Source organism: Homo sapiens, chromosome 7, assembly GCF_000001405.40.
Source record: "Homo sapiens chromosome 7, GRCh38.p14 Primary Assembly".
Taxonomy (NCBI): domain Eukaryota; kingdom Metazoa; phylum Chordata; class Mammalia; order Primates; family Hominidae; genus Homo; species Homo sapiens.
In genome coordinates, this window is record NC_000007.14 from 694,820 (window position 1) to 722,644 (window position 27,825).

General features: G+C 50.8%; 1 protein-coding gene across 8 annotated transcripts in view, besides 3 other annotated features; it reads right to left on the reverse strand.

Moving 5' to 3' along the window:
- The window catches only part of PRKAR1B (protein kinase cAMP-dependent type I regulatory subunit beta), a 179,738-nt gene that overhangs the window by 145,623 nt on the left and 6,290 nt on the right, over positions 1 to 27,825 (reverse strand). For 4 of the 8 annotated variants that reach the window (XM_047420607.1, NM_001164759.1, NM_001164758.2 and 1 more), the window contains exon 2: positions 16,510 to 16,708. In XM_047420607.1, the coding sequence (XP_047276563.1) occupies positions 16,510 to 16,686 (177 nt within the window). In that variant the 5' untranslated portion in view covers positions 16,687 to 16,708. Of the gene's footprint in view, positions 1 to 16,509; positions 16,709 to 17,516; positions 17,536 to 17,594; positions 17,686 to 18,028; positions 18,122 to 18,235; positions 18,323 to 27,825 lie in introns of those variants that run through there. The other 4 variants (XM_047420608.1, NM_001164761.2, NM_001164762.2 and 1 more) reach the window with 4 other exon arrangements.
- Positions 1,594 to 2,094: an enhancer, noted in NCBI's record as "H3K4me1 hESC enhancer chr7:736050-736550 (GRCh37/hg19 assembly coordinates)". NCBI's record gives its function as "activates a minimal SCP1, AML or CMV promoter by ChIP-STARR-seq in primed H9 embryonic stem cells {active_cell/tissue: H9 hESC(primed)}" and the evidence as "EXISTENCE:reporter gene assay evidence [ECO:0000049][PMID:30033119]".
- Positions 2,095 to 2,595: an enhancer, noted in NCBI's record as "H3K4me1 hESC enhancer chr7:736551-737051 (GRCh37/hg19 assembly coordinates)". NCBI's record gives its function as "activates a minimal SCP1, AML or CMV promoter by ChIP-STARR-seq in primed H9 embryonic stem cells {active_cell/tissue: H9 hESC(primed)}" and the evidence as "EXISTENCE:reporter gene assay evidence [ECO:0000049][PMID:30033119]".
- Positions 17,659 to 17,738: a silencer, noted in NCBI's record as "silent region_17815". NCBI's record gives its function as "represses an Ori minimal core promoter by ATAC-STARR-seq in GM12878 lymphoblastoid cells {active_cell/tissue: GM12878}" and the evidence as "EXISTENCE:reporter gene assay evidence [ECO:0000049][PMID:35858748]".

The following is a 27,825-nucleotide window of genomic DNA, read 5'->3' on the forward strand; positions in this document are numbered from 1 at the left end:
GAGGTCAGAAGTTCGAGACCAGCCTGGCCAAAATGGTGAAACCCCATCTCTATTAAAAATACAAAAATTAGCCAGGCGTGGTGGTGGGCACCTGTCATCCCAGCTACTCGGGAGGCTGAGGCAGGAGAATCGCTTGAACCCAGGAGGCGGAAGTTGCAGTGAGCTCGTGCCACTGCACTCCAGCCTGGGGGACAGAGCAAGACTCCGTCTCAAAAAAAAAAAAAAAAGAACCAAGCGAACAAACGAGAAATGAATGAGCAAATGAACAAAAATGTAGTCGGGACAGAAGTCGGAGCCCCACATCCTCACGCCATATAAACTGTCATGACCAGACGACCGCTCAGCTACTCACAGTCGCTCTGTGATCGGCAGGTGCAGGGATGGTTTTGGGGCTGAAGACGTGGGATCAGAGGTGGCCGGCGAGAAAGGCAGGATGATCTCTGCCAACCGCAGCCCAGAATGTGCCCCAGAATCGAGTAACCCAGCCCTGGGGATTGTCCTGGTCCTGTCCCGTCCCACACGGGGATGAAGTACAGACGTCCAGCCCAGAAAAGAAAATATCTGGGCGGGTCCTGGGGTCGGGGTGGAATCTAAGAGAGAGCCCCGTGCCGGTCAGGAAGGGGTCAGTGGTGCTGCCTTCCCAAGCCTAGACTTGTGAAGCGCCATCTGAATTACGATGACCTCGTGTTCCATGATGGAGACTGCAGTGGAGGCAGAAACAGTTTCAAGTGAGATGGGCGAGGTCACAAGACAGAGCCCACTGGAGTCTGCAAGCTACAGGAATTGTGACCAAATAAAGTGCCTCAGCCAGCCACCGGTGGGGTCAATAGGGCTTGTTTTTTTTGTTTTTTGTTTTTTTTTTGAGACGGAGTCTCGCTCTGTCGCCCAGGCTGGAGTGTAGTGGCGTGATCTCAGCTCACTGCAAGCTCCGCCTCCCGGGTTCATGCCATTCTCCTGCCTCAGCTTCCCGAGTAGCTGGGACTACAGGTGCCTGCCACCATGCCCGGCTAATTTTTTTGTATTTTTAGTAGAGATGGGGTTTCAGCGTGTTAGCCATGATGGTCTCGATCTCCTGACCTCGTTATTCACCCCTCTTGGCCTCCCAAAGTGCTGGGATTATAGGCGTGAGCCACTGCGCCCAACCCTTTTTTTTTTTTTTTTTTTTTTGAGATAGGGTCTTTCTCTGTCACCCAGGCTGGAGTATAGTGGCGTGACCATAGCTCACTGCAGCCTCGACCACCCAGGCTCAAGCAATCCCTCCATCTCAGCCTCCTGAGTATCTGGGACCACAGGTGCACCACCACCAGTATGCCTGGCTAAATTTTTTTATTATTATTTGTAGAAATGGTGTCTTGCTATGTTGCCCAGGCTAGTCTCAAGCGATCCTCCTGTCTTGACCTCCCAAAGTGCTGGGATGACAGGCATGAGCCACAGCACCCGGCCCCAATGGAACTTTTTTTTTTTAAAGAAAGATGGAGTTTCACTCTTGTTGCCCAGGCTGGAGTGCAGTGTCGCGATCTTGGCTCACTGCAGCCTCCGCCTCAAGGCTTCAAGCAATTCTCCTGCCTCAGCCTCCCGAGTAGCTGGGATTACAGACATCAGCCACCACACCTGGCTAATTTTTGTATTTTTAGTACAGACAGGGTTTCACCATGTTGGCAAGGCTGACCTCTCAAACTCCTGACCTCAGGTGACCCACCTGCCTCCATCTCCCAAAGTGCTGGGATGACAGGTGTGAGCCACCGCGCCCGGCCTCAATGGGACTTAGCTTTTGAGATCCATGCTAAAAGTAGTTTACTTCATAGAGGAGAGACTGGCCCAGGGCCTCACGGCTCCGGCAAGGACCCTGGGCTCTCCCTTTGCAGGAACCAGAAGCCGCTTCTCTTCAAGGAACGAGGTTGGGGTCCCAGTCTCTTGGCTGAAAGAGCTTTGCCTGTCCAGGCTCGACGGGACTTCCCATCTTTGGCAGGTGAAGAATCAGACTAGGCAGGATACAGGTGGTTCCATACACACAGGCCGCTTCAGGAGGCCTTGGGAGAAAGGGGGACAGCGAGCAGGGCCCCTCCCCAGGGCTGCATGGGGGTGACCTCTCACGGGCTCTGCCTGTGCACATGCCAGGCTGCTCTTCCCCTTCCCCTCTTGGGATTCCGGGAAAGCCTCTCATTTTGCAGCCCCCACTTCCTGTCTCCTGTTTTCATACTGATGCATTGTCTGAGCTGCAGGACGGTCGAGGTCGTGGGGCCGGGACAGGCTTTCCAGGCCAAAGCCATCTTCGTAACAACACTGTGGGAACAGGGTTTCCAGAAAGCTCCGTGGCCAGAATGTGCCCCAGAATCGAGGAACCCGGCCCTGGGGATTGTCCTGCTCCTATCCCGTCCCACAGAGGGGGATGAAGTGCAGACGTCCAGCCCAGAAAAGAAAATATCTGGGCGGGGCCTGGGGTGGGGGTGGAATCTAAAGAGATTTCCTAGACCCAAGTTTATCCTCCCGAGAGAAGCCTACACGCAGGGATTACAGGCAGATGGAATTCCTCAGTCCTGCCTGCGGCCCGGTTCTCGCTCCTGTGGGGACACAGCCTGCCCCGTCCCACTGAAAGGGTTTTCTGAGAGGCGGCTGATCCACCCCGCCTGATGCCTTCAACGGAGGGCGTCTAGGCTTCCACGGGGTCATCCACTGCGTGCCGGGCAGGCATGAGTGGTGTTTCTGGACCACCTCCTCCGAGCAGTTCCATGAGCGGCCCTAAGACAGCCCCTCTGCACTCTGTGAAACCCTAAATCTCAAGCGCCAGTTGTATTTGAGGACCAGGGGTCTCCAGGAGAGGGCTCACATGGTACCAACCCCAGGCCAGGACCCATAAGCCCACCTAGCAGCGGCAAATCATCCCCAGCCATGAGGCGGGGAAACTGAGGCCCAGAGAGGGTAAAGGATTTGTTCAGGGGAACCCAACCATTCAGTGGCAAGGTTGGAAGAGAAACGCAGGTCTTCAATCATTTACTGAGCACCTATTGTGTACCAGGCCTCACATAGAGAGTATAGCAAACAAGGGAAGGCGAAGGAAAGGAGAAAAGAGAAGGGAAGAGAAGGGAAGGGAAGGGAGGGGAGGGGAGGGGAGGGAAGGGAAGGGACGGGAGGGAAGGGAAGGGAAGGAAGGGAAGGGAAGGGAGCGGAGGGGAGTGGAGGGGAGGGGAGGGGAGGGAAGGGAGCGGAGGGGAGGGGAGGGGAGGGAAGGGAAGGGAAGGGAGGGGAGGGGAGGGAAGGGAGCAGAGGGGAGGGGAGGGAAGGGAATTAGAAATTAACAGGCTGGGCAGGGCACCATGGCTCATGCCTGTAATCCCAGCACTTCGGGAGGCCAAGGCAGGTGGATCACCTGATGCCAGGAGTTCAAGACCAGCCTGGGTCACATAGGGAGACCTCATCTCTATAAAAATATTAAGAAAATTAAAAATTAAATTAATAAAATAAAAATAAAAATAGAAGATGAAGATGCAAGTCCCAGTGAGGCTAGGGGCAGAGTGTACACAGGAGGGTGTGAGCACAGGCGAGAGCCCTGCTCACCCTCAGAAGCAGATGGCATGACTCTATGTGTGCACATCTAGGAAAGTACGTGTGCATGTGTGTCTAGGTAAGTACGTGTGCGTGTGTGCATATCTAGGTACGTATGTGTTAGTGTGTGTCTAGGTAAGTACGTGCGTGAGCATGTGCACATATGTGTGAACATGTACATATCCAACTAAGTACATGTGTGTGCACATCCAGAGAGGTACATGCATGTGACCATATGCACATCTAGTTAAGTACATGTGTGAGCGTGTACACATGCATGCAAACACACCCCTTACATCCACCACTCTCGGAGTAAACTGAGTATGTCCAGGTGTGCGCACAGCTATGCATCTGGGTAAGTGCGTGTGTTTTAATGCATGTGCACACACGACTCCACGTACCCTCCTCCTCGGTGGCAACAGTACATCCTTGCCTGTGTGTGCATGTGTGTGCATCTGGGCGAGTGTGTGTACATGTCACTCACACACACTTGCACTCACTCCCTCACCCACCATGGCGGCTGTCTCCCCACCCCACCTCTCCCCACGCAGCAGCAGCAGCTGGTGATTCAGCCTCTCCCTCCTGGAGGGCAGCACCCCAGCTCCAGCCTGCCACACACAGGGGCACCAGCCTTGCAGGGCAAAGGCGGAGAAGCCTGAGTTCCTAGGACGGAGGATGAGAAAGAAGCAGAAGGGGGGGTTCCACCATCAAAGCCAACCCCAGGAGAACCCTGCACCCTGCCCCAGCACGCCAGGGGCCAGAGCCCACAGGCAAGGTGGGAAGGGTGTGGCCTCAGAGGCATGCCTGGGTTTGCGCCCAGCTCCATGACTCTCCCTGGCTGATGGTGGGGAACCCACGTTCTCTCTCCAAGCACCCGTTTTCTCATTTGTAAGATGGGAATGTAAATATCTCATCTGGCCAGGCCTGCGTGAGAATTCGATGAGATAAAGTATGCAAAGCACCACGTGCCATATCTCGGTGTTCCTGCACTGGGAGGCACTGAGTCCCAAAGCAGGAAGGCACTGACGGTTAGGGCCCCTCCCAACGCAGGAACAGCCGGGGTAGGAAGGGCAGAGGTCACAGCTGGAGGAAGGAGTGGGCAGTTACCCCCTCAGTCCATCACACACTGTCATGCTCACCAAGTAGTGAGCTAGGAGGGCCAGAGGACACTAAAGACCCTCCCTCCCTGCAGAGCTGGGACTTGGGGTTGAAGCTCAAGCCGAGATCTCCTCCTCTGAGCTCACCCAAGACAGGGTCGTGGTGAGAGGCTCTCTGAGGAAGCAGCCGTGGCCCTAAAGCAAGTGCTGAAGAGCGGCCAGCTGCAGGAGGGGTGGGGAGGAAGTTCCAGGTGACAGGACAGTGCTGGCCGGAGCCCGTGGGTGGCCATGGGCTGCAGTGGAGAGGCAAGCAGGAGCCAGACCCCGTGAGGCAGGAAGGAGCTTAGATTTGTTAGGAGAGCACTGGAAAGGTTTGGGAAGGTTTTAAGAAGGGGGAGCAGTTCAATTTGTGTTTCTGGAAGATGGCTCCAGCTGTGACTGATATGGAAAATGGAGCTCGAGGCCCGATGGGAAGCAGAGAGGCTGCTGCAGTCATTCAGCCGAGGGGACAGCGGCGTGGGCGGGGGAAGGGGCGGCAGGGAGAGAAACAGGCATATCTGTGTGCCAGAGGTAGGATCTCTCTTGCATGGAGAATGTGAGAGAAACCCCAGAGGAGAAAGGACAAAATGGGGGTCCCCGAATTCCATGAACTGATACGAGTGTGAGGTTCAACCCCAAGTTTCGTATGCACAGAACACAGAGAACCACAGAAAAGGTGCTGAGGACTGAGCTGCAAGCAAAACAATGTCCAAGTCCCAGACCAGCCCCCAAGCGACCCACACAAGGGTGCGCCCAAGCAGCACCCCAAAGGCTTGGAAACGGAACTCATGTTGGCATCGTCACCCACCAAGGATGAGAGAGAACTTGCAGCATGGACCTCGTCAATTGATTTCCTGCCAAAACAAACAAAAATATCAACATTCTCTCTCCATAGGATTTTAATGGGATTCAAAGCTTGACAACATAATATAGAAAATGTCCAGGATATAATCCAGTTCCTTGACAAATTATTCAACATATCAAGAACTAGGAAAGTCTGGCCAGTTCTCAAAGGAAAAGACAACCCATGGCTGACAAGCTTCAGATGCTAGAGATGACGGGATTATCAGGTTAACACTCTAAAGCAGCAATTTTAACTATTTTCCATGAAGTGAAGGTGAATACTCTTGGAATTGGTGGGGGAATCAGCAAAGAAATCAAATTTATTTAAAAAAAAAAGGAAGAAGAAAGGAGGAGAAGGAGAACAGGAGGAGGAGTAGGAAGAGGAGGAACTACCAAATAAATTTAGAACTGAAAAATAAATACAAATTTTAGAACTGAAAAATAAAGTAACAGAAAATCTTAAATTCACTAGATGGGATCATTTGCAGAATGGATATGACAGAGGAAAGACCTTGTGAGTTTGAAGAGAGATCAACAGAAATCATCCCACCAAAAGGACAGGTGGGCAGGGCATCGTGGCTCACGCCTGTAATCCCAGCACTTTGGGAGGCCGAGGTGGATGGATCACCTCAGGTCAGGAGTTCGAGAGCAGCCTGGCCAACATGGCTGAACCCCATCTCTAAGTAAAATACAAAAATTAGCTGGGCATGGTGGTGCGCATCTGCAATCCCAGCTACTCGGGAGGCTGAGGCAGGAGAATCTCCTGAACCCAGGAGGCAGAGGTTACAGTAAGCCGAGATCGCACCACTGCACTCCAGCCTGGGCAAGAGAGCGAGACTCTGAAAAAAAGAAAAGAAAAGAAGGAAGGAAGGAGAGAAGGAGGGAAGGAGGGAGGGAAGGAAGGAAGGAAAGAAAGAAAGAAGGAAAAAAGAAAGAAAGAAAGAGAAAGAAAGAAAGAAAAAGAAAGAAAGAAAGAAAAGAAAGAGAAGAAAAGAAAAGAAAAAGAAAGAAAGAAAGAGATTTAACAGAGCCTCAGGGACTTGCGGGAAAATATTTTAAAATCTAACATTCATGTCACTGGAGTCCCTGAAAGACAGGAAAAAGAGATTGGTACAGAAAAATATATTTGAAGACATGATGGTTGAAAACTTCTCAAATATGTTGAAAGGTATAAATATTCAGATTCAAGATCAAAGGAAAACAAGAGAAACTCAAAGAAAATCAAACTCAGACACATTGTACTCAAACTCTGACAAACTAAATACACAGGGAAAATCATGAAAGAAGCCAGAGAAAAGAAACATAAAGCAAATGAGGGTTCAAAAGGCTGATTTGTCATCAGAAACCATAAAGAACAATGGGAAGACATCTTTAAACTGCTGAAATAAAATCACTCTCCACTCAGAATCCTGTATCTGTAAACATGTCCTTGTCCTTCAGGAATGAAGGCAAACCAGAGAGATTCTCAGATGAAGGAAACTGAGAATCTGTCACCAGCAATCCTGCTCTAAGAGGAATGCTAAAGCGAGTTCTTCAGGCTGGTGGGGGAAATGATCACAGAGGGAAAGAAAAACACTTCAGGAACCACGGAAGAGTGACAGAAATGGGAAATACCCAGGTACATCTTCTAGACTATTTGCCCCTCTTAAATTACTGAAAATACGTGAAAGTGTTAAAAGTAAAAATTATAACATTGTCAAGGGAGTGGGGGAAAGTTCAACATGTGTAAAGATGATACGTACAACAACCAGAAATAATAAGGGGAAGGTAAATGGGCCTATGTGATGGAAAACTTGTATGTTTTACTTGAAATGGTAAAATATCAACTCTAAAAAGTCTGTGTAAAGTTATGTATGTATATTATAATGCCTATAGCAATCACTTAAAGAAAAACAGTAAAAAAGACAGTAAGTACTAAAAAATAATCAAATAATCTAAAAGAAGGAAGGAAAAAAGAAACATAGGAAAAAAAACAGAGAAAACAAATAGAAAAATAATTAAATGGTAGACCTAAATCCAACCATATCAATAATTACATTAAATGTACATGATCTATACATGAGGTAAGATATATAAAAGTAACCATCTTAAAAAATAATGGTTGAAAACTTGCCAAATTTCTTGAAGGACATAAATTAACATCAAGATTTGCAAAGGGAAACCAGACAAACTCAAAGAAAATCATATTAAGATGCATCATAGGCTGGGCGTGGGGCTCACACCTGTAATCTCAGCACTTTGGGAGGCCGAGGCAGGCGGATCACGAGGTCAGGAGATCGAGACCATCCTGGCTAACACGGTGAAACCCTGTCTCTACTAAAAATACAAAAAATTTGCCGGGTGTGGTGGCAGGTGCCTGTAGTCCCAGCTACTCGGGAGGCTGAGGCAGGAGAATGGTGTGAACCCAGGAGGCGGAGCTCGCAGTGAGCGGAGATTGTGCCACTGCACTCCAGCCTGGGCAAACGGGGCAAGACTCCGTCTCAAAAAAATAAGTAAATAAATAAATACATAAATAAATAAATAAAGATGCATCATAATATATACTATACTATATATACTATATGTACTACATATATAGTAATAAACAGTATTTTCTTTTTAAAAAGTGGATAATCTAAACACACCAATTAAAAGACAGAAACTGTCAAATCATATAAAAAAAGAAAACCAAGTATATGCTATCTATAAGACACACACTTTACTGATATAGCTAAAATAAGAGGATAGAAAAAGATTAATCACACAAATCCTAATAATGTGGCTGTATTAATATCAGATAAAGCAGACTTCAGAACAATGAAAATTACCAGGAACAAAGAGAAACATCGAATAATGATAAGAGGGTTTATTCACATGAAAACATAGCAATCCCAAATGTATATGCAACTAATAACAGAGCTCCAAAACACATAAAGCAAAAACTGATAGAATTAAAGGAGACACAGACAAATTATAATTGGAAGTTTCAATGCTGTTCTTTGGTAGTAGGTATAGCAAGGGGCCAAAAAGAATCAGCAAGAATGGGCCAGGTGCAGTGGCTCATGCCTGTAATCCCACCACTTTGGGAGGTTGAGGTGGGTGGATCACGAGGTCAAGAGATCGAGACCATCGATCTCCTGTGGCTAACACAGTGAAACCCCATCTCTACTAAAAACACACAAAAAATTAGCTGGGCGTGGTGGCAGACGCCTGTAGTCCCAGCTACTTGGGAGGCTGAGGCAGGAGAATGGCACGAACCCGGGAGGTGGAGCTTGGAGTGAGCCGAGATCACGTCACTGCACTCCAGCCTGGGCAACAGAGCAAGACTCTGTCTCAAAAAAAAAAAAAAAAATCAGCAGGAATGCAAAAGACCCTAACCTGAACAACCCCTCAAACAACCAGACCTAACCAACATTTCCAGAACACAGCACCCAACAGCAGCACACAGTGTTTCTAAGGGCACGTGTGATATTCACCAAGATAAAGCATATGATCAGCCATAAACCACACCTTAACAAAATAAAGATTCAAAACCATATAAGCTATGTTCCCTGACCATAATGAAATTAAACTAGAAATAAATAACAGAGAGATATCAAAAAAATCCCCAAATATTTGGAAATTAGACAACAAATTTCTAAATAAGATGAACCAAAGAGGAAATCTCAAGGTAAAATGGAAAATATTTTGAGCTAAATAGAAAATGAAAATACAGCACATCAAAATCTGTGAAATATAGTTAGAACAGTGCTTTAGAGAAAAATCTGTAGCATTATATATTTCTATCAGATAAAAAGCCTTAATCATCTAAAATTTCACCTTAAGAAATTTTATGAAGAACAGATAAAACCCAAAGACTGAAGAAGAAATGAAATAATAAAAATAAGAGGAGAAACAGATAAAATCTAAACAAAAATAGACAAAATCGATGAAATTAAAATCTAACTCTTTGAAAAGATCAGTAAAATTGATAAACTTCTAGCCAGACTGATCAAGCAAAAAAGAAAAGCCAGAAATTACCGTCTCAGGAATGAAAACCATCTCAGAAAACCACCTCAGGAATGAAATAATACAAACACTACAGACATTAAAAGGATGAGGTAATATTACTCTATATTGATAAATGTAACAACTTAAATGAAACGGAACAATGCCTTGAAATACACAAACTATGGCCGGGTGCGGTGGCTCACGCCTGTAATCCCAGCGCTTTGGGAGGCCGAGGCGGGTGGATCACTTGAGGTCAGGAGTTCGAGAGCAGCCTGTCCAACATGGTGAAATCCCGTCCCCACCAAAAATACAAAAATGAGCCAGGCGCGATGCCTGTAATCCCAGCTACTCGGGAGGCTGAGGCAGGAGAATCACTTGAACCCAGGAGGGGCGGGTTGCAGTGAGCTAAGATCGCACCACTGCACTCCAGCCTGGTCAACAAAGCAAGACTCTGTCTCGGAGTAAATAAATAAATAAACAAGCCACATACTAGAAGAAAATATTTTGTAAATTAAATATCTGACAGTTTATAAAAAATTCTGAAACTCAGTAGTAAGAAAACAGACAACCTAATAAGAAAAATGGACAAAATACATGAACAGACACTTCACCAAAGAAGATATTTGAGTGGAAAATAAGCGTATGAAAACATCCTCAACAACTTTAGTCATCAGGAAATGTAAAATAAAACCACTTTAGGGCCGGGCGCAGTGGCTCACGCCTGTAATCCCAGCACTTTGGGAGGCTGAGGCGGGTGGAGCATCTGAGGTCAGGAGTTCAAGACCAACCTGGCCAACATGGTGAAACCCCATCTCTACTAAAAATACAAAAACTAGCTAGGCATGGTGGCACATGCCTGTAATCCTAGCTATCCGGGAGGCTGAGGCAGGAAAATCGCTTGAAAATCACCTGAACGCGGGGAGCAGAGGCTGCAGTAAACCGAGATCACGCCATTGCCCTCCAGCCTGGGTGACAGAGCAAGACTCTGTCTCAATTAAAAAAAAAAAAAAGAAAAAAGAAAAAAAAAAACATTTTAGGTGCCACCATATACCTATTAGAATGGCTAAACGTTTTTTAAAACTGACAGTATCAAAGGCTGCCGATACTGAGGAACAAGAATCACGGCTGCTTGGAACACGAGATAGGACAGACATTCTGGAAAACAGTTTGGCAGTTTCTTATAAACATACACTTACCCTATGACCCAGGAATCTCACTACTAAATATTTACTCAAGTGAAATAAAAACCTACTTCCACATTAAAAACCTGTAAGACGAATATTTATAGCAGCTTTATTTGTAGTTGGCAAAAACTGGAAAGGATCCAAGTGTTCCTAGACAGGGTACAGGACAGACAAGCTGCAATCCATCTATGCAACAGAACACTGCCGGCAATAAAAATGCAGGACCTGTTGATGCAGAAAAACACAGATGAGGCGGGCACTGTGGCTCACGTCTCTAATCCCAACACACTGGGAGGCCGAGGCAGGTGGATCACCTGAGGTCAGGAGTTCAAGACCACACTGACCAACGTGCTGAAACCCCGTCTCTACTGAAAATATAAAATTAGCCGGGCGTGGTGGCAGGCGCCTGTAATCCCAGCTACTCGGGAGGCTGAGGCAGGAGAATTGCTTGAACCCAGGAGGCAGAGGTTGCAGTGAGCTGAGACTGTGCCACTGCTCTCCAGCCTGGGCAACAAGAGTAAAACTCTGTCTCGAAAAGAAAAACAGATGAGCCGGGCGTGGTGGCTCACATCTATAACCCCAGCACTTTGGGAAGCCGAGTGGGGAGGACCGCTTGAGCTCAGGAGTTCAAGACCAGCCTGGGCAACATGGCGAAATCCCGTCTCCACAAAAAATACAAAAATTAGCCAGGCATGGTGGTGGGCACCGGTACTCCCAGCTACTCAGGAAGCTGAGGTGGGAAGATGGCTTGAGCCTGAGAGGTGGAGGTTGCAGTGAGCTGAAATCATACCACTGTACTCTAGCCTGGACAACAGAGCCAGACCCTGTCTCAAAAAAGAAGATTGATGGTGTCATTTTGGATAATCTTCGGAAAGATCACATCTTGCTGGGGAAACTCCCACGCTGTGTTTTGCCATCAAATAAGGAATTTTTTTTTTTTTTTTTTTGAGACGGAGTCTCGCTCTATCACCCAGGCTAGAGTGCAGTGGCGCGATCTGGGCTCACTGCAACCTCTACCTCCTGGGTTCAAGCAATTCTCCTACCTCAGCCTCTCACTGGGACTACAGGCACCCGCCACCATGCCCAGCTAATTTTTTTTTTTTTTTTTTTTTAGTAGAGACAGGGTTTCACTGTGTTAGCCAGAATGGTCTCGATCTCCTGACCTCGTGATCCGCCCGCCTCAGCCTCCCAAAGTGCTGGGATTACAGGCATGAGCCACCGCGCCCGGCCCAAATAAGGAATATTTTATCTGCTTAAGTCTCCACCACAGAAGAACTCACTCACGAAGGCCAGAGCACCAGAGGCCCAGCCCGGACGGCACTCCAAGAGCTGGGCCATCCCTGCTGGCCTGTGTTTTATCCCAGGTGCTTTATGAAAGCCTCACAAACATGCACCCTGCTTGGGATACAAGTGAAGAAAAATCCTCCATCAGGGGCTTCTGCCCTCCACTCAGCCCTGGCTGGCCTCGAGGGGGTGGCCCAGACCTCACCCTCTCCACCAGGGCTGCCGCCCTACCCAGAGGCACACTTCCCGGTTCTATTGTAAACATTCCACAGCACCTCACTGGTCCAGAACACGCAGCAGGAAATGAGACTCCATGGAATTTTAGGGCCCTGTTAGCTGGTTTATATTTGGGGATCTCAGCTCCATTTGAGAATCCATCGCAAGCTAAGAGGAATTCTTCCCAGTTAAACGCACCCACATGTAGAACACGCATGCAACTTCAAAGACTTCACTAAAGCTCCCCAATGCCTGTCCCTATCAGCTACTGCAGAAAACAAACAAAAATCACCTGCAATCGTGCCCTGAGACGCCACTCTTTTCAACATTTTGGCGGACGCCCCTCAGATTTTTTTCTTTGCATATAACACATTATTGTCGGCAACCCTTTCGACAAAAATGGAATTGTACCATAGATCCTGTCTTGCAACCTGCTATTTTCACTCAGCAAAGGCTTGCTGTTGGAGGAAGGCCTGAGAAAAATTGCCCTGCCCACGCCCAAGAAGGCCGCTGGGATCCGTGAATCGTGTCCCCAGAAATAGACATTCTGGAGTCCTAACCTCAGAACCTCAGAACCTCAGAACCTCAGAAGTTGACCTTACTTGGAGGCAGGGTCTTGACGGAGGTGAGGAAGTTACAAGAGGTCATTGGGGTGGCCTTGGTCCAGGATGACTAGTGTCCCTATGAGAAGGGGAAATCTGGACACAGACACTGTCAGGGGGCAGAACACCATGTGAAGATGAAGGCAGGACCCGCGATGCGTCTACCAGCCTGGACCACCCACAATCGCCAGCACCACCCGGAGCTGGGGGAGACACAGAACCTTCTCCCACATGGACCCAGAAGGAGCCATCCCACCACACCTTGGTCTCAGACTTCCAGCCTGGACCACCCAAGATGATCACCAGCACCACCTGGAGCCGGGGGAGACACAGAACCTTCTCCCACACGGACCCAGAAGGAGCCATCCCACCACACCTTGATCTCAGACTTCCAGCCTGGACCACCCAAGATGATCACCAGCACCACCCAGAGCCAGGGGAGACACAGAACCTTATCCCACACGGACCCAGAATTAGCCATCCCAATACACCTCAATCTCGGACTTCCAGCCCGGACCACCCAAAATCGCCAGAACCACCCAGAGCCGGGGGAGACATAGAACCTTCTCCCACACGGACCCAGAAGGAGCCATCCCAATACACCTCGATCTCGGACTTCCAGCCTGGACCACCTAAGATCTCCTTCTCCCACACAGACCCAGAAGGAGCCATCCCAATACACCTTGATCTCAGACTTTCAGCCTCCAGAACTGTGGGAGGAGACATTTCTGTTTAAGATGCCCGGTGTGTGGTACAGTCATCCCCTGGTATCCATGGGAGATGGTTCTAGAATCTCTAAGGATAACCAGAACCCATGGATGCTGAAGTCCCTGATATAAAATGGTGTCATATTTGCATGTAACCTACACACATCCTCCCATATACTTTTTTAAAAAATTTATTTATTTTTGAGACAGACTCTCGCTCTGTTGCCCAGACTGGAGGGCAGTGTTGCAATCAGCTCACTGCAACCTCCGCCTCCCTGGTTCAAACAATTCTCCCGCCTCAGCCTCCCAAGTAGTTGGGATTACAGGCACATGCCACCACGCCCAGTTAATTTTTGTATTTTTAGTAGAGATGGGGTTTCACCACGTTGGCCAGGCTGGTCTCCAACTCCTGTGTGCAAGCGATCCACCCTCCTGGGCCTCCCAAAGTGCTGGGATTACAGGCATGAGTCACTGTGCCCGGCCCCAATTTTTTTTTTTTTTTTTTCTGAGACGGAGTCTCCCTCTGTCGCCCAGGCCAGAGTGCAGTGACGCATCTTTGCTCACTGCAACCTCCACCTCCCGGGTTCAAGCCAATTCTCCTGCCTCAGCCTCCTGAGTAGCTGGGATTACAGGTGCGTGCCACCACACCCGGCTAATTTTTGTATTTTTAGTAGAGACGGGGTTTCACTGTGTTGGTCAAGGTGGTCTCAAACTCCTGACCTCATGATCCACCTGCCTCGGCCTCCTAAATTGCTGGGATTACAGGTGTGAGCCACCGCACCCACCAGCCCCAATATTTAATACTAAAAAAAAAAAAAAAAAAAAAAAAAAAGGAAACAACTCAATTGTCCATTCACTCACGGAGGAAAGGTTGAAAAACCTTAGTATAACATTATGCAGTCACTTAAAGAGAGGTCTTTAAAGAATATATAAAAAATGAAAAATACAAAATACGAATTGCATCTATAACGTGACTGCAACTAAGACTTATGTACGTATGTATCCACGTATGCATGTATGTATGTGTGTGTATGCATGTGTGTATGCATGTGTGTGTGTATGTATTTCTTTTTTTTTTTTTTTTTTTGAGACGGAGTCTCGCTGTCGCCCAGGCTAGAGTGCAGTGGCGCCATCCTGGCTCACTGCAAGCTCCACCTCCCAGGTACACGCCATTCTCCTGCCTCAGCCTCCTGAGTAGCTGGGACTACAGGCGCCTGCCACCTCGCCCGGCTAATTTTTTGTATTTTTAGTAGAGACGCGGTTTCACTGTGTTAGCCAGGATGGTCTCGATCTCCTGACCTCGTGATCTGCCCACCTCAGCCTCCCAAAGTGCTGGGATTACAGGCGTGAGCCACTGCACCCAGCCGTGTGTATGTATTTCTGAGACAGGGTTTCGCTCTGTTGCCCAGGCTGGAGTGCAGTGGTGTGATCATGGTTCACCACAGCCTCAAACTCCTGGGCTCAAGTGATCCTCCCACCTCAGCCCCTGGGTAGCTGGGACCACAAGCAGGTGCCACCACACCCAGCAAACTTTTTAAATGTTTTTGAGAGACAAGGTCGAATTCCTGACCTCAAGTGATCTTCCCACCTCGACCTTCCAAATGCTGGGATTACAGGTATAAGCCACCGTATCTGGCCTACAACTACGTTTTTATAAAAACATTTGAGGGGGAATTCGGTGGAGAGGACTACAGAGCGTTTTTATCTCTTCTTTCCACTTCCGAACTTTTCAAATTTCCCTTAATAGGCATATGCATTACTTTAAAATGTTTTTGCATGGACTGCTTCCAAGGGAAGAGTTATATTCACTCCTTTGGGTTAGGACTATGTGATCACAGGAGGCCCCTGTCGAAAGCATAAACACCGCCGGATGGGGACCTGGTGGCTCACAGGCACTCAAAGGCAGATCTTAGCCTGAACTGGGCTTCCCAAGTTCCCATTTGGTCCCCAGGAGAGATGGGCACAGGAGATAGTTAAGTTGTGATAAAAGGACCAAGAGGAGAAACATTAGGTGATACGCAGACAGCCTGGGGTGGGGCCCAGAACAAGGACAGGAGGAGCCCACGGCGAGGGGGAGGGGACACAGCAGGAGGTGTCACAGGGGCTCCTGTCCCGGCCTCCACTTCCCAGGCACGCACGTCTACGAAAAGAGCCCAGATGCAGGAGGCCAGGAAGGGGGTGAGAGGCATCATTCCCGGAGAGAAGACCGTGAGCAGGCCTGAGCTTCTCCCCGACCACACGTGCCGAAGGGTACTTTCCTCTCCCACTGCTGCAAGATCAACGTGGAATTCGACCTCAAACCCCACATCACCTTAGCCATGGGAGCTATTTTCTTTTTCCTTTTTTTTTTTTTTTTTTTTGAGACGGAGTCTCGCTCTGTCGCCCAGGCTGGAGTGCAGTGGTGCGATCTCAGCTCACTGCAGCCTCCACCTCCCGGTTCAAGCAATTCTCCTGCCTGAACCACCCCAGTAGCTGGGATTACAGGCGCCGCCACCACACCCAACTAATTTTTGTATTTTTAGTAGAGAGGGGGTTTCGCCATGTTGGCCAGGCTGGTCTCGAACTCCTGACCTCAAGTGATCTGCCCGCCTCGGCCTCCCAAAGTGCTGGGATGACAGGTGTGAGCTACCCCGTGGGAGCTATTTTATCCCAAGTGGTGACAGCATCTGTAACTAGGCTGAAAACTGTCGGTGAGCCCCACAAGCTAGCGAAACACCTGGACCTAAAACCCTGAACCTCCTTCCAGGAGAGCTCTGAAGACCTGGAACCCCCTGGAAGCCGAAGGGGGAATTCTGTGGCTCAGAGGACCCCACCTAGAGGCATGAATCTCGGGAGACCAAACAAGGGACGGTGGGCCCCAGGTCGGCCTCTCTCCCCGCGCTTCTGGAAGGACCTGCAGGACGGCAGACAGTCTCTGGGGCACCCAGCCTTCGAGGACCACGGGACAGAGGGAAGGCTTCCCCGGCTGCCGCCTCTGCCCCAGGACACGTGCGAAGGGAAGCAGCGGGCGGCGGGGGCCACTCACCTTCTCCAGCTTCTCGAAGTGCTCCCGGAGGAACTTCATGGGGCGTTCGGGCTTGGAGATGCAGAGGTGGACGATACAGTCTTTGAGGACCTGCTGGATCCCGTGCAGCTGCACGTACAGCTCACAGCCCTTCAGGCTCTCGTCCTCCTCCGAGGGGCAGGCGGGCGGGGAGGCCATGGCGAGGGTGGCTGCTTCCTTCCTGTCCAGAAAACACACAGATCCCCAGGCCTGAGAGCTGCCCGGGGCTGCGCGCCGGATAAACGCAGGCGGCGTGAACCAGGCTTCTCCCAGGAGCGTGGAAGAAAGTCACTGATTCTGCATTTGTCAAAGATCTTTCATTCTGTGGGGCCAGGTGAGGTGTTAAACGTGACGGCCCCCAGAGCCTTCCCTCCCCACAGACCCCCGGCAGGGGTGGAGGGGGCTCAGGCAGGGGGGGAGGGGGCTCAGGCAGACAGGGGTGCACGCGGCTGAGAAGCCCCTTCTGCAGTTCTGAGGATTCCGGGTGGGAAGAGTGGGGGGGCCCGGCGCCCTGAGGGTCCAGCCGGGGGGTTCCAGGGCCTCGTCCTCCTCCATCCCCCCTTTTTGGGGGCACTTATGTGAAATGTGAATGCTGGGGGCCCCTGCGCGCGGCCTCAGGGGAGGGGGAGATGAGGGTGAGACTGTGGATGGGCTGGGGCGGCCTCTGCACAGGAAAAGACAGAAACGCAGGTAAACAAGGGAAGCTGGCGGTGGTGGGGGGGTGGGGTGCGGGAGAACAAATGCGGCGGCCGCGCAGCGAAGTCACCATGGCCAGGCCAGGCCGGCACCGCACCGCGGGGCGCAGGACCCCAGCCCCCCGCCACGCCGCCCCCGGAGTGCCCAGACCGCCGGGAAGGCGCCCACCCAGAGACCCCGCGCCCCCCGCCCCAAACCCGGCCTCAGCGCCGGCGAGGACCCTCCCGGGACCCCTGACCGGGAGCCCCAGGCCCGGCCCCGCCCCGCGCGCCCCACTCCCGGCGGGGCCGAACCCTTCCAAATGTCCGCATCCCCGGGGGGCCTCCCAGGCCCGGGGCTCCCGGCGCAGACCCCAGCCCGGCCCCGCGTACCTGGATGCGCGGCGCCCGAGGCCAGGAGGCGGCTGCGCGGGGACGCGGGGCGCGGGGACGGCTGGCGAGCGAGCGAGCGGGTCCCCGCACTGCAGCGGCGCCGCCCTCCACGCCCGCCCCCGCGCCGCGCGCAGCTGCTGCACCCCCAACGCCGCCCGCGCGGGCCTGCAGCCCGTCTCCCCCCGACCGCCTCCCCGCGGGGCCCCCAACCCCGGCCCCCACCCCCGGCTCTCCCCGCCCCCGCCCCATCCCCCACCGGCGCAGGTTCAGGCCATCGCTGCCAGGACCCCCCGCTGTCGCCGCCCCCCGCCCCCTCCACTCAGACTCTGAGTCGCCCACTCCAGCCGGTGCAGGCCGCGGGGCCGCCTCTGATGGCCTGGGCACCCCCCACTCCCGCCCCGTTCACGACCACCGCGGCTGCCTGAGCTGCTCACACCTAGGGGATCACATCCCTGCCTCTGCAGGACACCCGGTACCCAGCAAGCACGCCCGTTCCCTGGGGTCTCACTCTGCCTTAGCGGCCAGAGAGGGTGGCCAGGTGGGCCCAGCCCCGCTTCCCCAGGTGACTCCCAGCGCTTAGGCGCACCAGCTTCACCCCGATGCCCAGTGGGAAATCGGAACCCTCCTAAATTCTTTCCCACCTTTCTTGGGGATCCAGAGGTCACGGAGGCCTAGGAGGAGCCTCTTGGTGACGGTCCTAACCCACAAGCCCAGCCCTGCAGGAAAGGGAATCAACCTCATCCTCCTACCGCACACCGTTGCCCCATCCTGCCAGGGTGGCGGCGGCAGAAACTCCATCTTCCCTCCCCAGAGGCTCCAAATGCCAGGAGAGGGGTAGGCAGTTCCAGCTGTGAAGGAGATGATACCTGCCTCCCTGTGCACACTCACCTGTCTACCCCCGGGGTCCTCCACCCACCTGCCCAGCCCCCGGATCCTCCACCCGCCTGTCCAGCCCCCGGGTCCTGCACTCACCTGCCCGGCTTCCCTGTTGCCTACTCACCTGTCTCCCACTATGCTGCCCCATCTTCACCTGTCTCCCACTCACCCGTACACACCATCTCCCACTCACCCGTCTCTTGCTCACCTTTTCCACACTCACCTGTACACAGACACCATCTCCCACTCAGCCCTCCCATGCTCACCTGGTCCACACTCACGTATACACACTCACCGTCTCCCAGTCAGCCCTCCCATGCTCACCTGGTCCACACTCACCTGTACACACTCACCGTCTCTCACTCAGCCCTCCCATGCTCACCTGGTCCACACTCACCTGTCCAGCTTTCTTGTTCATTGCTCAGCTGTCTCCCACTCACCTGCCTGCACAGGCACTACACAGGTCACCAGCCCTGCCGAGCACATTCCCCAGCAGGGCTGACATTGCCTCAGCCTCTTCCTGCCAGGGTGAACGTAAACCAAGCAGGCCACCCTCGGGGGTCAAACACGAAGGTCCTTGGTCCTCAGCCCTCACCCTCAGCACCCACTGGCCCCAGCCCCGTCTCAGGCAGACCTGCATTTGTCCTGAGACTTTCTTAGGGATCCAGGCCTGGTCTCTGAATTAGAACTCCATCCCACAACCCACTCAGACCTCTGGCTCTCCCAGCCCTGGCCTGCCTGGAGCTGCTGCTGACCAGCAGTACCATCACGTGCTCCCCGCGGCCCCTCCACTCCCTCCTCCTCCTCCTCCAATTACTCCTGCTCCTCCAGGGTAGACTGGTGAGGACAGCAAAAAAGACCCAGGTGCCACCTAACCAAGGCGACGTCTCGCTTCGGGGGGCAGATGCTCCAGGCCTGGCTGCTTCTCTCCCGGGCTGTCCTGGGGTTCTCTGGAGACTCCCTGTAAAGACTTCCCCCACACCGTGCCTCTAGAGGAGAGTGGAGGCACCTCTCTGGCTGACCTCACAGGACAGCCCTCTGATCCCGAGGCGCACACACAAGCCCTCCTTCTGCTGCAATACCTCCTCAGGCTGAGCCTCCTTGCCTGCGTCCTTTTGAGACAAGGATCTCCCAGGTTTGGGGGCTGGCAGCATGCACGTGGCCAGCCAGACATGCGGCCCCTGGCCCCACTGAGCTGTGACGTCTGCTGAGCTCCTCTCCTCATTGCCACGACGGCAGCTCCCACTGCCTCTCTCTTTCACACTTTTCCCCGCCACTCAGATCCCTGTTCCAGTGGCCCCCACCCCACACAAGGACTCCCTCTCCAGACTGGCTCTGGTAGGAGTGCGAGGCGTGGCCCCCACCGCCCCAACCTGCAGACAAGTTTCTGCCTGACTCCCAGGCCTCTCTTGCTTCAGCCTTACTGGCTTGAGCCAAGGACAGACGCTTCCTTAGTGTCCTGCTCACTGTCTGATCATTGCCAGAGGATGAAATCAACACAGAAGTGGGAAGAAACAGGATCCTAGAGAAATGGAGCCACGGCCGTCCTCAAACCAAACCTGAGGCCCTTCCCGTATCTGGACTTCCCAATTATGTTCATCAATAAATACCTTTGGCCGGATGCGGTGGTTCACACCTGTAATCCCAGCACTTTGGGAGGCCGAGGCAGGTGGGTCACTGGAGGTCAGGAGTTCAAGACCAGCCTGGGCAACATAGCGAAACCCTGTCTCGACTAGAAATACAAAATTAGCCGGGCATGGTCATGCACGCCTGTAATCCCCAGCTACTCAGAAAGCTGAAGCAGGAGAATCACTTGAACTCCAGTGAGCCCAGATCGTACCACTGCACTCCAGCCTGGGCAGCAAAAGAGCGAACGAAACTCCGTCTCGAAATAAATAAATAATAAATAAATACCTCGTACTACTGCCTGAGCCCGTTGGCTTTTTGCTTTTTGTTAGTCGCCACTGAGGACATCCAAGTGAATACACCACTGATCTGACACAATCCCCCCAAAACACACACTGACAACCCCATTAAATGCTCCTGGATGAAGACACAAAGAGGGGTCTGGTGAGCTCAGAGGAGCTGCGCTTGGTCATCGGACCACGTGGACCTCAACAGGTCGGTCGCCACCCTGCCACACGGTGACAAACCCTGACGTGTGACACTGTGCCCAAGCAGCTATGCCCTCAACTGAAAATGTGCTGCTGGTGACTGGGTTACCCATTCAGAAGTCCCAGTAAATCACATATCTTCCCATAGGGAAGGACCTACCCCCTGGGGTAGGTTATTTTTCTCAGCAAAGGTATTCACATTTCTAAGCCCTGTGGGGTCTTACTTCACCCATAGAATGTGCCTGTAGGATTCATCATGACTAAATGTACTTACAGTGACCACGCTTTGCAGAACTCCAACCAAAGAGCCACATTTTATTTTTTTTTTTTGAGACAGAGTCTCATTCTGTCACCCAGGCTGCAGTGCAGTGGCGTGATCTCTGCTCACTGCAAGCTCCGCCTCCCGGGTTCACGCCATTCTCCTGCCTCAGCCTCCCGAGTAGCTGGGACTACAGGCGCCCGCCACCGCGCCCGGCTAATTTTTTGTATTTTTAGTAGAGATGGGGTTTCACCGTGTTAGCCAGGATGGTCTCGGTCTCCTGACCTCGTGATCCGCCCGCCTTGGCCTCCCAAAGTGCTGGGATTACAGGCGTGAGCCACCGCACCCGGCCTAGCCACATTCTTTATATATTTTTTTTTTTAAATCTTTTTGTTGTTGTTTTGAGACAGGGTCTCACTCTGTCGCCCAGGCTGGAGTGCAGTGGTGTGATCATAGCTCACTGCAGCCTCAAATTCCTGGGCTCAAGCCATCCTCCCACTTCAACATCCAGAGTAGTTGGGATCACAGGTGCACACCGCCACACCTGGTACTTAAAAACATTTTTTTTTTTTTTGTAAAAAAAAAAAATCTCACTATGTTGCCTAGGCTAGTCTCGAATTCCTGGCCTCCAACAATCCTCCCACCAGCTTCCCAGAGTGCTGGGACTACAGGTATGAGCCACCGCACCCGGTCCGAAGCCACATTCTTTTCCCAATCACCACATACCTCGCACTTCTAAACTTTGCTCTGTCAGCTCCAATTCACCCTCCAAGATTCAACCAAAACGTTACACAGGGAAATTCCCTAAGGCGCCAGCACTGCCTCTGGAGGGCCCGGGGCTCCCAGGACTTCTCCTTGGTAGCTCTTATTACACGTGCAATTGAATAATGACGGCAAGGCTGCCAGCTTAATTGCTGTCTCCCCTGCTAGGTCAAAAGCACCAAGTATGCATGGATGGTGTTTGTCTTATTCTTTATTCACTCTGCATGGCGAAGAGACCAACACAGCTATTTTCTGGGGTGCAGAAAGGAAACAAAGATGCTTTGTTAAGCTGCTCTGGCCACTGGGGAGGCTGCAGCATGTCGTGGTTTGAGGTGGGATCTGTAGGTGGGCTTCCTGGGTGCGGTTCCTGAGCCTTCCCCAGCCAGCTGCATTCACTGCGCAACGTCCGTATGCTCCCTGAGCTGAGGATAGAGGAGAAACTGCATGTGATTGTGGCTGATGGGAGAGGCCACTCATCCTCAAATCTAGGTGGATATACGAGGAATGAGGACTGAGAGGCTGAGCATGGAGCACGCAGCACATAGTAGGAGCCCAAGAACCGTGAACAGTAATAATTATTCTCCAGCCGGGCGCAGTGCCTCCCACCTGTAATCCCAGCACTTTGGGAGGCCAAGGCAGGCAGATCACCTGAGGCCAGGAGTTCGAGACCAGCCTGGGCAACATGGTGAAACCCCATCTCTACAAAAAATACAAAAATTAGCCAGGTGTGGTGCCGTGCCTGTAGTCCCAGCTACTTGGGAGGCTGAGGCAGGAAGATCACTTGAACCCAAGAGGCAGAGGTCATAGTGAGCTGAGAGCATGCCACTCCGTTCCAGCCTGGGCAACAGGAGTGAAACCCAGTCTCAAAAAAAGAAAGAAAGAAAGAGAGAGAGACAGAAGGAAAGAAAGAAAGGAAAAAGAAAAGAAAAGAGAAAAGAAAATAACAATGTGGCCAGGCATCGTGGCTCATGCCTGCAATCCCAGAACTTTGCGGGGCCAAAAGAGGAGGATCACTTGAGTCCAGGAGTTCAAGACCCATCTGGGCAACAGAGCAAGACCCTGTCTCTACAAAAAAATACAAAAATTAGCCAGGCATGGTGGTGCACACCTGTAGTCCCAGCTATTCAGGAGGCTAAGGTGGCAGGATCACCTGAACACAAGAGTTCGAGGCTGCAGTGAGCTATGATTGCGCCACTGCACTCCAGCCTGGGCAACAGAGTGAGACCTTGCCTCAAAACCACACACCCACACACACAATGTTCTCTAATATTCAAGTTTTGCATTGTTCACTATGTAGGTAAGGGATGCAAAATTTCACGGGAAATTTTGCCACAAACCTCAATAGTCTTCTCTACACATGGCTCCTGGGTGTGGCAGGCACTCTCAGATGGCCACAGGGTCCCCACCTCCCAGTGCTCATGGCTTGTGGGGTACCCTCCCCTTGAGTGTGTGTAGGTCCTGAGGCTCACCCCTGCCCGGTGGGGTACAGCAAAGGTGAGGAGTGAGCATCACATATGATTCATGGCAACATCTGCCTTGCCAGGGGACTCTCTCCCTTGCTGGCTTTGAGGAAGCCAGCTGCCCTTTCATCAGTGGCTGTAAGAGGACCCCGTGGCCAGGAGCTGAGGGTGGCCTCCAGTCCACAGCTAAGAAAGTGAATGCTGGAAACAACCAAGTGCACTTGGGAACGGTCCCTTCCTCAGTCGAGCCTCAGATAAGAATGCAGCCCCAGCATGGATTGCAGCCTTCAGAGGACCCAGTAAAGCCATGCCTGGACTCCTGACCCACAGACAGCCGGCCCCAGGCCTTCACTGGGGGAAGCTTTATAGATACACACACACACACACACACACACACACACACACACACACATACACATATATACATACATATATATGTATGTATGTATATATATATATATATCTCCTCCTGCTTCAGCCTTTTTTTTTTTTTCCAGAGTCTTGCTCTGTCACCCAGGATGGAGTGCAGTGGCACAATCTCAGCTCACTGCAACCTCTGGCTCCTGGGTTCAAGCAATTCTCCTGCCTCAGCCTCCCAAGTAGCTGGGATTACAGGTGGGCACCACCACTTCCAGCAAATTTTTGTATTTTTAGTAGAGACGGGGTTTGACCATGTTGGCCAGGCTGGTCTCGAACTCCTGACCTCAGGTGATCCACCCGCCTCAGCCTCTTAAAGTGCTGGGATTATAGACGTGAGCCACTGCACCTGACCTGACCCATTTTTAAGTCTAGAAAATGTGCCTTCATTATCCCTTCAAATACCTCCTACTTCCCACTTTTCTTCTGCCTTCCTGGGACATCTATTCAACAGATATTAGCATTGTTGCTTCTGTTCTCCATATCCCTGACCTTTTCTCTTACATACTTCTTGTTCCTGTTTCATTTTGGTAACATACAGAACTTCATCTCTTTTATAGGCTTTTTTTTTTTTTTTTTTTTTTTGATGAGATAAGGTCTCGCTCTGTCATCCAGGCTGGAGTGCGGTGGCATGATCATAGCTCTTGGCAGCCTCAACCTTCCTGGCCCAAGTGATCCTCCCACCCCAGCCTCCTGAGTAGCTGGGATTACAGGTGCACCCCATCACACCCAGCTTATTATTTTTTCTTTTTCTTTTGAGAAGGAGTCTTGCTCTGTCACCAGGCTGGAGTGCAGTGGCCTGATCTCAGCTCCCTGCAACCTCCGCCTCCCAGGCTTAAGCAATTCTCCTGTCTCAGCCTCCCGAGTAGGTGGGATTACAGGTGCCTGCCACCACACCCGACTAATTTTTGTATTTTTAGTAGAGACGCGGTTTCACCCTCTTGGCCAGGCTGGTCTCAAACTCCTGAGCTCAAGTGATCCACCCGCCTTAGCCTCCCAAAGTGCTGGGATTACAGGCATGAGCCATTGTGCCCGGCCATAATTTTGTATTCTTTTTGTAGAGATGGGGGTCTCACTATGTTGCCCAGGCTGGTCTCAAGCTCTTGGGCTCAAGCAATCCTCCTGCCTCAGCCTCCCAAGTACCTGGGACTACAGGTGTGAGTCACTGCATCCAGCTAAGTTTTAATATTTCTTTGTAGCGACGAGGTGTCACTATTTGGCCCAGGTGGACGTGAATGCCTGGCCTCAAGTGATTCTCCCGTCTCAGCATCCCAAGGCCTGTTTCATTTGTTGTAACGTGTTGGCCCTCCTGTCCTACTGCCCTGCTTCTGTCATCCAGTTTATAGCTATTCCGTCTGGCAGTGTGTCTGGGGAAAGAAGAGAGGTCATGACCCCTCTGGGTATTCATGCAGTTGCCACCACAATCCAGGTACTATACTGTACCAGCTCCACAAGGCTCCCTCCTAGTGACCCTTAATAATCACGCCACCCCATCCCTAGCCCCAGGAGATCAGTCATCTGTTCCCCATCTCTGTTACTTTATGGATGTCATACAAACAAAACCACAAAATATCCCTTTGGGATTGGTTTTCATCTGCATAATCTTTTAGAGGTTCGTCCAAGTTGCGTGCAGCAATTCTTTCTGAGTAGAATAACTGTCTAATCTCCATGTGTGAAGATTTTCCTGCTATCTGCTGTTGATGGTAAGTGTGATTCCATTATTGTCAGAGAAGGCGTTCTGTGCAAGTCTTTTTTTTTTTTTTTTTTTTTTTGAGAGGGAGTTTCACTCTTGTTGCCCAGGCTGGAGTGCAGTGGCACAATCTTGGCTCACTTCAACCTCCGCCTCCTGGGTTCAAGTGATTCTCCTGCCTCAGCCTCCAGAGTAGCTGGGATTACAGGTGCGTGCCACCACACCCAGCTAATTTTTTGCATTTTTAGTAAAGACAGGATTTCTCCATGTTGGCCAGGCTGGTCTTGAACTCCTGACCTCAGGTGATCCGCCTGCCTCGGCCTCCCAAAGTGCTGGGATAACAGGTGTGAGCCACCGCGCCCAGCCCTCTGTGCAAGTCTTCTACATTTGCTAAGGTTTGCCTTATGGCCCAGGATATGGTATATCTTGGTCTCTGTTCTGAGGACACTAGAAAATAATGTGAATTCTGCGATTGTTGAGTGGTGTGTTCTGCAAACGTCAATTAGATCCTGTTGGTTGATGGTGTTGCTCTGCTATACCTTAATGACTATCTGCCTAGTTATTCTAGCAGCTGCTGAGTTGGGGGCTGAAGTCGTCAACTGCAACAGCAGGCTTGTCTCTTCCTCCTTTCAGCTCTATCAGTTTCTGCTTTATACATGTTGAAGGTCTGTTGTTTGCTGTACACACATTTGGGATTGCTGTTATCTTCCCAGTGGGTTCTTTTATCATTATGTAATGTCCCTCTTTTTCCCAAGGAATTTCAACAGCCACTCCCGCTTTTTAAAATTTATGTTTACATGATACTCTTTTGCCATCCTTTTACTTTCAATGTGCCTATGTTATTATGTTTGAAGTGAGCTTCAGCATATAGTAGACATCATACAGTTGGGTCATGTTTTGTATCCACGTGGCGAACCTCTGTCTTCTAATTGGTGTGTTTAGGCCATTTACATTTAAATTAGTGATATATTAGGGCTTACGCTTGCCATTTAATCATCTGTTCTCTCATGCTTTACTGTGGGATACCTGAATGTTTTTTAGAATTCCACGTTATGTTTTTGAGGATATCACCATATACATATGCAACCCATCGGTCTATCGGCATCTATGATTTTCCACCTTGAGTGAGTGGACAAACCTTCCTTCCACTTAAGTCCCTAACCCTTCTCACTGTTAAATACCTAGCTGTAGATATTTCCTCCACATACATCACACACCACATGAGTGTTGTAATTTTTGCTTCGATCATCAAATATGATTAAAGAAACTCATGAGGTGAAAGATGGTCAGTGACATTGACTTCTATTTTTATCCAGTCCATTGTCTCAACTTTCTGGAGGCCCCAGCCCTCTTCTGTTAAAATTATCTTTCTGGGCCGGGCACGGTGGCTCACGCCTGTAATCCCAGCACTTTGGGGGGCATTGAGGCAGGTGGATCACCTGAAGTCAGGAGTTCAAGACCAGCCTGACCAACACGGAGAAACTCTGTCTCTACTAAAAATAAAAAAATACTCGGGCATGGTGGCACATGCCTGTAATCCCAGTTACTCGAGAGGCTGAGGCAGGAGAATTGCTTGAACCTGGGAGGCAGAGGTTGCAGTGAGCTGAGATCATACCATTGCACTCCAGCCTGGGCAACAAGAGCGAAATTCCGTCTCAAAAAAAAAAAAAATTACCTTTCTGTTTACAGGGTATCCTTTATGCATTCCTTAAAGGTAGGTCTGCTAGCAATAAATTCTATTAGTTTGCCTGTCTGAGAACATCTTTACTCCTCTTCCATTCCTGAAGGATAGTTTTGCTGGGTAGAGGACTCACAGTCAACAGCTCTTTCCCCTTTACAGTTGAACAATGGCAGGTCACTTCTTTCTGGCCTTTTGTGGTTTTGGTTAAGAAATCTGCCTTCATTCAAACTGGTGTTCCTCTCTAGGCAAGGCATTATTTCTCTCTGTCAGTTAGTACTTTTCCTCCTTCTGTCTTTAGTTTCCAGGAGTTTAATTGTGATGTGTCTTAGTATGGGGTTTTTGGAGGGCTTGTCCTATGAAGCCTTGTTGAGCTTCTGGAATCTGTGGATTTATGTTTTTCATTGAATTGGGGGAGTTTTCAGCCTTTTTTTTTTTTTTTTTTTTTTGAGATGGAGTCTTGCTCTGTCACCCAGGCTGGAGTGCGGTGGCATGATATTGGCTCACTACAACCTCCACCTCCTGGGTTCAGGCAATTCTCGTGCCTCAGCCTCCCCGAGTAGCTGGGATTACAGGTACCCACCACCACACCCAGCTAATTTTTGTATTTTTAGTAGAGATGGGGTTTCACCATGTTGTCCAGGCTGGTTTCAAACTCCTGACCTCAGGTGATCTGCCCGCCTCGGCCTCACAAAGTGCTGGGATGACAGGCGTAAGCCACTGCACCTGGCTAATTTTTCTATTTTTAGTAGAGATGGGGTTTCACCATGTTATCCAGGCTGGTTTCAAACTCCTGACCACAGGTGATCTGCCTGCCTTGGCCTCACAAAGTGCTGGGATGACAGGCGTGAGCCACCGCGCCTGGCTAATTTTTGTATTTTTAGTAGAGATGGGGTTTCACCATGTTGTCCAGGCTGGTTTCAAACTCCTGACCTCAGGTGATCTGCCCGCCTTGGCCTCACAAAGTGCTGGGAT